The sequence below is a fragment of the Homo sapiens genome, chromosome 2 (genome assembly GCF_000001405.40).
Source record: "Homo sapiens chromosome 2, GRCh38.p14 Primary Assembly".
Taxonomy (NCBI): domain Eukaryota; kingdom Metazoa; phylum Chordata; class Mammalia; order Primates; family Hominidae; genus Homo; species Homo sapiens.
This window is the reverse complement of record NC_000002.12, coordinates 128,116,562-128,128,974: the sequence shown is the minus strand read 5'-3', so window position 1 is coordinate 128,128,974 and position 12,413 is coordinate 128,116,562. Positions and strand designations below refer to the sequence as shown.

General features: G+C 41.0%; 1 protein-coding gene across 10 annotated transcripts in view; it reads right to left on the bottom strand.

Moving 5' to 3' along the window:
• UGGT1 (UDP-glucose glycoprotein glucosyltransferase 1) overlaps nucleotides 1–12,413 on the bottom strand; it is a 104,478-nt gene that overhangs the window by 66,703 nt on the left and 25,362 nt on the right. For all 10 annotated transcript variants that reach the window (NR_027671.3, NM_020120.4, XM_006712635.5 and 7 more), the window contains exons 9-12: nucleotides 8,519–8,619; nucleotides 7,677–7,776; nucleotides 5,729–5,789; nucleotides 1,523–1,614 (exon numbers count right to left, since the gene is read on the bottom strand). Coding sequence is in view for 9 of the 10 variants with exons in the window: in NM_020120.4 (NP_064505.1) it covers nucleotides 1,523–1,614; nucleotides 5,729–5,789; nucleotides 7,677–7,776; nucleotides 8,519–8,619 (354 nt within the window). In the remaining variant the exon portion in view is untranslated. The remainder of the gene's footprint in view (nucleotides 1–1,522; nucleotides 1,615–5,728; nucleotides 5,790–7,676; nucleotides 7,777–8,518; nucleotides 8,620–12,413) is intronic.

Genomic DNA, 12,413 nt, shown 5'->3' with positions numbered 1-12,413 from the left:
ATTCTCACCATGAAAAAAAATGTATCAGTTCAACCTCAATGCCAAATCAAATTAATTGAGAAATTTAAAAAAGCAATAAACACACAAATTGAGGATAAAATAACCCTAAATCTATACTTTTACACCACATGATTTTAAAAACAGTACATTAATCTCTCTGTATTCTTTCTTATAACTGCATATGTATTTACAATTATCTCAAAATAAAGATTAAAAAGAGATACTACATTATATATGCTTAATATATGTTTCAATGTCAGTACCAATTCACAGAGGCAAACATATGACCACAGAAAAAAGCCTGAAAGAATCCACACCCAACTTAGAGGTTTGCTGGGAGAGACAGAAGAGATAGAGATGAAGGGCTGGGCGCGGTGGCTCATGCCTGTAATCCCAGCACTTTGGGAGGCCAAGGCGGGCGGATCACAAGGTCAGTAGTTCGAGACCAGCCTGGCCAACATGGTGAAACCCCATCTCCACTAAAAATACAAAAAAAATAGCTGGGCATGGTGGCAGGTGCCTGTAATCCCAGCTACTCAGAAGGGTGAGGCAGGAGAATCTCTTGAACCCGGGAGGCAGAGGTTGCAGTGAGCCAAGACCATGCCACTGGACTCCAGCCTGGGCAACAGAGTGAGACTCCGTCTCCAAAAAAAAAAAAAGATAGAAAGGAAGGAGAAATAAGATGTGATTAAAAAAATTTCTTTTGAGACTCCATCTCAAAACAACAAATGAATAAAGTCTGAATTGTGCCTGTCTGCTACCCACCCCAAAATCATGAAGACAATCGAATGCAATTTAATACTGAACCACATTTTACCAAAAAGTGGATATTCAAATAATATATGTAGACAGAACACCTTCTGAGACACAAGAGACAGTTTTTTTTTGTTTTTTGTTTTTTGAGATGGATTCTCACTCTGTTGCCCAGGCTGGAGTGCAGGGGTGCAATCTCAGCTCACTGCAACCTCCGCCTCCCAGGTTCAAGTGATCCTCCTGCCTCAGCCTTCCAAGTAGTTGGTACTACAGATACACACTACTAGGCATGGCTAATTTTTGTATTTTTAGCAGAGATGGGGTTTCACCATGTTGGCCAGGCTGGTCTTGAACTCCTGACCTCAAGTGATCCGCCGGCCTCAGCCTCCCAAAGTGCTGGGATTTCAGGCATGAGCCACCGTGCCAGGCCCAGAGGCAGTTATTTTTAATAAATCTACTTCACACTGTTCCAAAAGCCAAAGAACCTGTTCTTTTCTATGTTCCCATGGTTAAGTGGAAAAGTATAGCTTCTAAAAGGACAGCCTCAGAAAACACTCAGGCCTTGAACACACACTGTAACACAAGATGGAGATATGTCATCCTGCCTACCCATCATGGCATGTGCCTACTACCTACGTCCACCCAGTGGGGGCTGGTAAGCCATCAGACTTTGCATCATGCCATATCAAGAAGGAACGGCAATATGAACATGTTACAAGGTGCTACGCATTACAAAAACTTTTCAGAGAATGAAAAATATTATCCATACCTGAATATATCCTGTGTATCTAAATCCATGTGAAGTCCATTGATGAAGAGGGCTGAATCTCCAGGTTGTAATCCTAAAGTTCCCTTGAAATACTGAAAAATTTTAATAATTATTAGGGAGCTGTGAGAGAATGTTTTAAAAAAAATTTTATTGTTTCTGGGCTTCACTACCTGTACAAATCTTGGCATCCTAAGGCAGGGCTAAGATTTGCTTCAAGATGCTGTTGGGATTCAATGGCAAGTAAGACAGGGGATAATACCACAGTGTATACACATTTCGAAACATGTTGTACACCACAAAAATATGCAATTTTTACTTCTCGATTTTAAAAAGAAGAGAAAAAAATAAGGAGATCATGGAAAGGTGTATCAATTGTGAACTGGAATTTCTTCCGAGAGAGAGGAATTCACATCTACTCACTCGCTGGCTGAGTGCACAGCACCATCAGACGATAAAAAAAGGCTGATCCAGGCCAGGCACAGAGGCTCACACCTGTAATCTCAGCACTTGGGGAGGCCAAGGCAGGTGGATCACTTGAGGCCAGGAGTTGGAGACCAGCCTGGACAACGTGGCAAAACCCCGTCTCTATTAAAAATACAAAAATTAACCAGCTATGGTGGTGTACTCCTATAGTCCCAGCTGCCTAGGAGGCTGAGGCACAAGAACCGCTCGAACCCAGGAGGTAGAGGCTGCAGTGAGCCGAGATAGCACCACTGCACTCCAGCTTGAACGACAGAGCAAGACTGTCTCAAAAAAAAAAAAAAAAAAGACTGACCCTGAGCTGGTGAATAGCATATCTATTTCTAGGTCTGGACACTGGTAATATAGATGGGTTCATTTTGGGAAAGTTCATCAAACGAATGACTGAGAATTTGTGTGCTTCCCTCTTTGTGTTTCATATATACATTTTGGGCAGGGCACAGTGGCTCATGCCTGTAATCCCAGCACTTTGAGAGGCCGAGGCGGGTGGATTACCTGAGGTCAGGAGTTTGAGACCAGCCTGACCAACATGGTGAAACCCCATCTCTACTAAAATTACAAAAAATTAGCTGGGCGTGGTGGCAGGTACCTGTAATTCTAGCTACTTAGGAGGCTGAGGCAGGATAACTGCTTGTACCTGGGAGGCAGAGGTTGCCATGAGCCTAGATCATGCCACTGCATTCAGCCTGGGCAACAGAGCAAGACTCTGTCTCAAAAAAAAAATACATTTTGGTCAAGCATGATGGTTCATGCCTGTAATCCCACCACTTTGGGAGGCCAAGGCAGGCAGATCATGAGGTCAGGAGATCGAGATCATCCTGGCCAACATGGTGAAACCCCGTCTCTACTAAAAATATAAAAAAATTAGCTGGGCGTGGTGGCACGCGCCTGTAGTCCCAGCTACTCGGGAGGCTGAGGCAGGAGAATCACTTGAACCGGGAGGCGAAGGTTACAGTGAGCTGAGATCATGCCACTGCACTCCAGCCTGGGCGACACAGCAAGACTCTATCTCAAAAAAAAAAAAAAAAAAGTATATATTTATGCTTTAATAAAATGTTTTACTCAAAAAAAATTAAGACTCCATGAAACAGCAATATAGTATAATTTTGTCTTCCTTAGTGGGGAAAAAGGCCCTAAATTTAAGATAATATTTGATATTTTTACTTTGGAAACTAAAAAGTAAATAAAAACTCCCAATAAGGTTTTTCAATTTAGTAAACATTTGAGAAACATTTATTTATCCCTCAGATGTACTTAATTCACTAATATCTCAGATATAAAGATTAAGGAAATTTGGGGTAAAGATAGTGAATTGAACATAAGAACATTTTTCCCTCCTGAATTCTACTGAAATGTCACTAGAGCTACTTTTTCAGTTATAAATCCACAAAGACAAAGAGAACAGGAAAGAAAAAGGCCACCAAATTTTGGAAGCTGGAAGAGAGGTGGGTGAGGAGTCACTGTCCCAACAGCCCTGAGAAAGCTGAATGTTAGACCAACAACAGGAAAGGTCAACAAGAAACCTGTGTCACCCTGTGGAACTCACCAAAGGCTCAGGAACTGGCAGCACACAGGACATGTACAAGGGGTGATTATTAGCTAAGTTCTGATATAAAGCCCTTTAAGACAAAACCCCCCAGCCCCCCAACTGATTTCCCACAGCCAGGTGCCTGAGGTCGGTGCTACCCCCTACTCCAGCAAAATGAAGGCTCATTCCCTGGAAAAGAACAAAACAGAACATCTGTGGACAATGGCAAATCAAGCACAAGGAGGACAGGGACCCCACACACATAATGGGGAATCGAAGGCAAGTCACCAAACGCTCTTCCCTACTGTGCTTCTACAGCTCTAGCAAACAGATTTCACCCACCAGCCAGAAGACTGACGGATCCTTTTCTGGAGACTGACAAGGACTGACCAACCCAAAAGAAAAGGAACAAAGATACTGTAACTGGGGTTCCCTAGGAAATGGTCACAACAGAACACCTTACAGTCACAAAGCCACATCATTAGGACTTCCAACCAGGTCCTTAGTGCCTCACTCTGAGTGTGATCACCAGACACCTAAGGAAGGCCTCCACCACTGAAAAGACCAAAACCCAAAAACGCAGCTTAAGAGGAAACAGACTTTGCAGACAGAAAACACAAGCACCATTATCTTCAGAGATACACGGGAACACCATAAAAAGAACAAAAAAAACCCCTGAAAATTAAATATTTGACAACTAAAGGAAAAAAGATACACACAGGTTAAAAACTCTTACCAGAAAGTGTTTTTTTTTTTTGAAAAAGAGAAAAGAATAGGAAAGAAGAGACTTTTAAAAGGCCAAACTAGTCAGAGGTGCAACATTTAAAAAATAAATAAATACATATTTCTAGGAAAAGAGGAAAGAGAAACCAGAGAGAAGAAACACAAACAAAGAATTTAAGAAAATTTCCCAAAGCTAAAGGAAATGATTTTCAAGATTTTAAGGGCCCACGAACCACCTAACAGTACAGAGATTTTTTTAAAAACACACATAATTATGAAATTTCAGATAGCTAGAGTCAAAGAAAAGATCCTTAAGAGATCTCATACAAAGGCTTCAGATTTCTCAACAGCCACAATGGAAACTAAAATTCCAAGAGGCGATGCCTTGTTTCAAATTTTGAAATGACTTCCAACCTAAAATTGTATAACCTGCCAATATTGTATAACGAGCTATCAATAAAAACAAGTAGAAAGTTGGCTGGGCGCGGTGGCTCATGCCTGTAATCCCAGCACTTTGGGAGGCCGAGGCGGGTGGATCATGAGGTCAGGAGATCGAGACTATCCTGGCTAACACGGTGAAACCCCGTCTCTACTAAAAATACAAAAAAATTAGCCGGGAGTGGTAGCAGGCGCCTGTGGTCCCAGCTACTTGGGAGGCTGAGGAAGAAGAATGGCGTGAACCTGGAAGGCGGAGCTTGCAGTGAGCTGAGATCACGCCACTGCACTCCAGCCTGGGTGACAGAGCAAAACTCCATCTCCAAAACAAAAACAAAAACAAGTAGAAAGTTGATTTCTCAGAATTTCAAATTTGCCTCCCAGGCAACTTTTCTCACAAAGAATGATGAGCTGTACCAAAACAAGGAAATAAACCAAAAACACAAAAGACATGGAATCAAGCAACAGAGGATCCAACAAAGGAGGTTAAAGGAAGGTCTCAGGATGACCGGCATGCCCTGGGCATAAAGAGCAACCAGTCCATCTCAGACCACATCAAAACCAGGTAAAACCACAACATCCAATATTGAGAAGATGGATAGACAGGAACAGTGCCAATATAGAATAGTGGTGGGACACTGAGGGGGAGGCAGTGAAAGAAAGTTAAACCACACTGTTTAAATAGGAGGCCAATATATAATGTCTGAACGTGAAAAATAAAGTACCAATGTAAGCTAGAATTCTGGAGAGAAATATCAGAAGAATCAGCTAAATGTCGAAAGTGAATGTCTTCAGGAACGGGGTGAGACATGTTAGGGGTGCTGCTTTCCTAAACAACACGGTAGCACCACTTCATGCTTTCAGTTATGTGCATACTGAACTTTCATTAAAAACTAAAAATGCAAAGATCACAGAAATGAAAAAATCACCATCTTAGATAAAAGAAGAGTGACACTGTTAAATGCTGCTGATTAAACTCAGATTTCCTTATCTTTAAAGATAGAATACAAAACAGGTCAGTATTTTCTATCGGTGAATACCTTCTGATTCTCTTCCACTTCGGTTCTAAGTTCTGAGCTCACAGCTGTTTTTGTTATTGCTCTAAGGAAATAAAAACATTATGAGTGCTTGGCTTAATATTTGATATAAAGTCTTCAATTTCCATATTTTAAAATATGAAACACATTATTCAATAAATTAGAAAAAACTGAATGGGAAAAACCTTAAATTTTTATAATTGATAAATATATTTCTCCTTTCTCAGATGTGTATATTTTTTGTAAGATACAAAATCAAAGAAATGTAGCAGCTATAGCATTATAAAACAGGTGCAGTTGTTTCCAAGTTCTTAAAACATATGCACCCCATTTCTATATATGATCTCTACTACTCTCAGGCTAAAAGGATAATGTTGAATACACCAAGGCAGCAGATTGCTCTTCCCACTTAAGCACTTATGGTGGAGGTGGAATCATTCATGTATACCTTCAAGTAGCAGCTGGACTAAATGAGAATTCACTACATGATGTCTAAGTCCCAAATAAACAAACTTAGTTATAAAATATCTCACATCAGAAGTCAAAACACTTCATTCAGTGACTCAAGAAAATGACTGGGAACCATTCAAGTCAATAGTTTCTAAAAATGTGGCTTTTAAAACAATTTTGCCTTGCATTTATGAGATGTGCAGCAATATTACAGAATTGAAGGCAATGTCAGAAAACGTACAAACAAAATCTTTTTTTTTTTTTTTAGACGGAGTTTCGTTCTTGTTGCTCAGGCTGGAGTGCAATGGCATGATCTTGGCTCACTGTAACCTTCACCTCCCGGGTTCAAGCGATTCTCCTGCATCAGACTCCCGAGTAACTGGGATTACAGACCCCTGCCACCACGCCCAGCTAATTTTTTGTATATTCAGTAGAAAAGCGGTTTCACCATGTTGGCCAGGCTGGTCTGGAACTCCTGACCTCAAGTGATCCACCCACCTTGTCGTCCCAAAGTGCTGGTATTACAGGTGTGAGCCACCATGCCTGGCCCACTTCCCCCTTTTGAGCACCAGACAAGGCGGGTGGATCACCTGAGGTCAGGAGTTCCAGACCAGTCTGATCAACATGGCAAAACCCTGTCTCTACTAAAAATACAAAAATTAGCCAGGCCTTGGCCTCCCAAAGTGCTGGGATTACAGGCATGAGCCACCAAGCCCGGTCCAAACAAAATCTTATTCTGTCACTATGAACTAGTCACTTAGCCTCTATGACTCAGTTTCTTCAAGATTCAATAAGATGACATATGTAAAACCTTTCATGAAGAAAACCACTATGGTCTGGGACAGACTCTAGATTAGTTAGTTATATGAGCAAGACTCATCCAATCCTGAAAGGCAGGTATTTTAATTCTCGTTCCACTGCTGAGGAAACTGAGGTTGTTTATTTGCAAAGGTCACACAACTAATAAGTGGAAGTGCTAAGAACATAACCTAAATCTGTCACTTCAACCACACAATGCATGGTCTTGCCATCTTCAAGACACAGAGCACCATCTGCAATAGTAGTGGTGGTGGTCATAAAGAATCTTAATTTTCGCCAGGCGTGGTGGCTCACGCCTGTAATCTCAGCACTTTGGGAGGCCAAGGCGGGCAGATCACTTGAGGTCAGGCATTCAAGACTAGCCTGGCCAACACAGTGAAACCCTGTCTCTACTAAAAATACAAAAACTTAGCTGGGCATGGTGACGCACGTCTGTAGTACCAGCTACTTGGGAGGCTGAGGCAGGAGAATCGCTTGAACCTGGGAGGCGGAGGTTGTGGTAAGCCGAGATTGCACCACTGCACTCTAGCCTCGGCAACAAGAGTGAGACTCCATCTCAAAAAAAAAAAAAAAAAGAATCTTAATTTTCTAGGAATTTTCATATTGTTATTACCTCATTTGGCAAGTGAACATGACGATGACTGGGTATGATGTTAAGGAGAAGAGCATTATTCTACATTACCTGGCTTTGGTAGGAAAATTCTGACTAAGATCCTTCATGACAACCAAAGCCAACTCAACAGGAGAAGCCAAGATTCGAGCAGCAGTCTGGAAACTGAGATCTGCAACAATGTCAAATATAATTAAAAGTGGATTAATCTAATGCAATGAGAAGCAGAAAACAAAATCCAAATTTACTTCCCACTCTTTTCATGGTAATTAAGAATATCTTCGAATGCAACCATTCCAGAGAGTGCCCATGATTTAATTTCAGGTTTTATTCACTTCAAAGATCTCTGGAGTATTCAGTTGAGCCGTTTCTGATATATCTGCAGAAAACACTAGGGCACACACTAACGCTACACTAACGCATGTAGCACAGGCTAAATCAGGCCCAAGTCCTTTTCCCTTTTCTAAATTTACAATACATCACAAAATACAGCATGAAGACTTTTAGTAAATGACGTTGGGGAAAAAAACTTGAAAAATAGTTCTTTGGAACAGAGAAAAACACATACATCCTGCCACAATGACATGTCTTAAACACTCTATAGATAAACAGTTGAAGAAATGTATATATATAGGAACTTAGGACTATGACCTGCTTCTCGTATTACAAGTTTATGTATGGTCACACAGAAAGACTTGCCATTTGTTTATATATATTACTTCTACCTAGTGTTATCTGTTTACAAAAGGACTTCCTTTCTTCCCTGATTAATCGTAATTAATCACTCTTATCTTTAAAATCTGAGGCACCTTCAGAATCACGTACTACATACAATTAAATTCAAATTTTGCATTTTTTAAAGCCATAAAACTTAGCCAAAAAGTAGGCCAATGACCTCTCCCTGTTTTCATTACCTTGCAACTGCCAAACCTTTAAAGGTGCCATTTCATTGGTGCTCTCTACAAGATGCTTTCTGAGTTCTTTCAACTGTCCCTCCAGGTCGGGGTGCAGATCTCTAAAAGAAACATAAAAATCAGTCCTTTTCATTATTTTTTCTTTCCCGGAGCATAAGAAGAAGTAAACCAACTTTATCTTCATGGTTTTCCTCTCCCAACCCTAGGAAATTTTCTACGACATAGGGGGAAAAAATGAAGTATAATTATTCCTCTTTAAAAAAAATAGAAAATTAGAAGCTAGTTTAAAACTCATAAAATTTATAGAAAAATTGCTAGAATAGTGATTCCCTATGAGGTAGATAAGGAGACTGAGAGTGGTTAACAAAGGAGACTTTTCAGGCCAGGTGTGGTGGCTCACGCCTGTAATCCCAGCCACTGAGGAGGCCAAGGCAGGAGGATCACTTGAGCCCAGGAGTTCCAGGTCAGCCTGTGCAACACAGCAAGACCTTGTCTCTTAAAAAAAAAAAGAAAAAAAGAAAGAAAGAAAGGAACAAAGGAGACTTCGGCTATACCTGCAGTGTTTACTGACCTGTTTTATTTTTTGTTTGTTTTCCTTTGTTCTTAAAGTAAAAAAAGGCTTATACTGGGAAAAAAAGAAAGCTTAATAAATAGTTCTATAGAAGAGAAAAGCAAGTATGACAACAGCAATCTATTCTGGGTTGTAAGTATGTGGGAATAAATTTTTCTCTATGCTTTTGTGAATCACTGTAATTTCTCAAAGTAAAACTGAAGGGAAAAAAACTGCTGCCAGTCCCAAAATGAGTTTCCTTTAGCCTACATGCTCATAAATCTCTTAGTAACATGAATACAATTTAGGCTAACCATAGTTACTGGGTTTTATCTTTAAATATAGCATATTCCACTATAGTAAAGCAGAGGTGATCTGGGGCAGAGATATAACATTTACATCAGACAGACGGCTAGTACATTACTTTTTTCTTTTAAATGCCATAAACTCAAAATTTCTTTTTTTTTTTCTTTGAGACAGAGTTTCACTCTTGTTGCCCAGGCTGGAGTGCAATGGCGTGAACTCCTGACCTCGTGATCCGCCCGCCTCAGCCTCCCAAAGTGCTGGGATTACAGGCGTGAGCTACCGCGCCCGGCTAACTCAAAATTTCTTAATACAACATACAGAAATTAAAATTCCCTCAGACTGTTCACTGTCCAACCAACCCACTTCCTGTCAGTTACTACAGCCTGAGCATCCCAAATCCGAAATTCTGAAATCCAAAATGCTCCAAAATCCAAAACTCATTAAATGTCAACATGACATCAAAGTAAATGTTCATTGAAGCATTTCAGGTTTCAGATTTTCAGACTTGGGGTGCCCAACTGGTAAGTATCATGCAAATATTCCAAAATTGAAATCTGACACTCTAGTTCTAGTTTAAGCATTTCAGAAAAAAGACACTCAACCTATACAAACTCTTAAATACCAAAAATGAGGCCAGGCGCGGTGGCTCACACCTGTAATCCTAGCACTTTGGGAGGCCAAGGTGGGCAGATCCCTTGAGCCCAGGAGTTCAAGACCAGCCTGGGCAACATGGCAAAACCCCATCTCTACCACAAATACAAAAACTGAAGTGAGAGGATCACCTGAGCCTCGGGAGGTGGAGGCTGCAGCAGGCCATGATGGCGCCACTGCACTCCAGCCTTGGTGACAGACTGAGCCTGTCTCAAACAAAAAAAAAAGGTCTAATTACTTTGGATAGCTAAATAACTATTCTGAATGTCCAAAAGGTAAAACAGCCTCAATATTCTTGATAATACCTTTGTGCTGTGAATGCATAAAATCATCATGCTACCCAAAAAATAAACATAAACACCACAAATGTGAAAAAAGATTCTGAAGCTGGGAGTGGTAGCTCACACCTGTAATTCTAACACTTTGGGAAGCCAAGGCAGGACAATCACTTGAACCCAAAGTTCAAGACCAGCCTAGGCAATATAGCAAGACTCTATCTCTACAAAACATTTGAAAATTAGCCAGGCATGGTGGCACACAACTGTAGTCCCAGCTATTCGAGAGGGTGAGGTAGGAGGATCCCTTGAGCCCAGGAAGTCAAGGCTGCAGTGAGCCGTGATTGTGCCACTGCTCTCCAGTCTGAGTGACAGAGCAAAGCCCTGTCTCGAAAAAATTTTTTTAGAAAAGGATTCTGAAAGCCTGAGTCAAATAAAAATAGAATATGATTACATTCTAACAAGGTCAAAACTGATGTTAAACGAGAAGAAATGTATATACATGTAGGATGAACTCAACATGTAATTCAATGTAAACTAAGATATCTCTTCTAAATTGTTAATCTGGTTATTTCACTTGGCCAAATCTCAAAGCTGAAGTATATAAAACTGAGTCTAGCATATACTATTTCTATTTGATCACTTTCTCTCTCTTTCCCTCTCTCTCTCTCTCTCTCTCTCACACACACACACACAGACACACACACACACACAAAATGTCCTAATAAAAACTGCCAGATAAAGCAGAATTCAGGGCTCTAAACAATTATCAAGCCATGAGGGAAATAACTTCAACTTTTAGAATAACAGCTAAGAAGACGTTCCAGGCCAGGCACGGTGGCTCACACCTGTAATCCCAGCACTTTGGGAGGCCAAGGCGGGCGGACCAGGAGGTCAGGAGATCAAGATCATCCTGGCTAACACAGTGAAACCCCATCTCTACTAAAAAAAAAAATACAAAAAATTAGCCGGGTGTGGTGGCGGATGCCTGTAGTTCCAACTACTTGGGAGGCTAAGGCAGGAGAATAGCGTGAACCCAGGAGGCGGAGCTTGCAGTGAGCCAAGATCGTGGCACTGCACTCCAGCCTAGGCAACAGAGCAAGACTCCGTCTCAAAAAAAAAAAAAAAGAATAACAGTTAAGAAGACTTTCCAGCTATAAAATACTATGATGCTTACATTAACAGGTTATGATGATGCTTTCATTAAATGATTACATAATTATGGAATTTTTTAAAATACCATTTCCTTTCACATAAAGCAAATTCTAATAAAATGTTTTTTCTGAGCTGGGGGCCATGGCTCACGCCTGTATTCCCAGCACTCTGGGAGAGCGAAGCAGGCAGACCACTTGAGGCCAGGAGTTCAAGACCAGCCTGGCCAACATGGTGAAACCCCGTCTCTACTAAAAATACAAAAGTTAGCCAGGCATGGTGATGGGTGCCTGTAATCCTAGCTACTCAGGGGGCTGAGGCAGGAGAATCACTTGAACCCAGGAGACGGAGGTTGCAGTGAACTGAGATTGCACCACTGCACTCCAGCCTGGGCAAAAGAGCAAGACTCTGTCTCAAAAAAAATAAATAAATAAATAAAAAATAATAATAAAATGTTTTTCCCATTGAGCATGTATAAAATTTACTATATCTATTTCGCATTTTTGCTCAGACTATGTTTGAAAAAAACTTTTAAATACATTTTTTCCTGGGAAAATATTAAGTGAAACAATTCAATTTCTCCTCTTATGGCAATCAAAAAATGGTATGTAACTTAATGCCATCAACTGAGAGGCAAGAAAAACGCACTTAAACTGTGGGCAGGTAGCCATACTATCAATTAAGAATAATGTGCTTCAGGCTGGACGCAGTGGCTCATGCCTGTAATCCCAGCACTTTGGGAGGCTGAGGCGAGTGGATCACTTGAGGCCAGGAGTTTGAGACCAGCCTAGCCAACGTGGCGAAACACCATCTCTGCTAAAGATACAAAAATTAGCCGGGTGTGGTGGTGCATGCCTGTAATCCCAGCTACTTGGGAGGCTGAGACAGAATAATCACTTGAACGTGGAAAGTGGAGGTTGCAGTGAGTCGAGATCACGCCACTGCACCAACCTGGGCGACA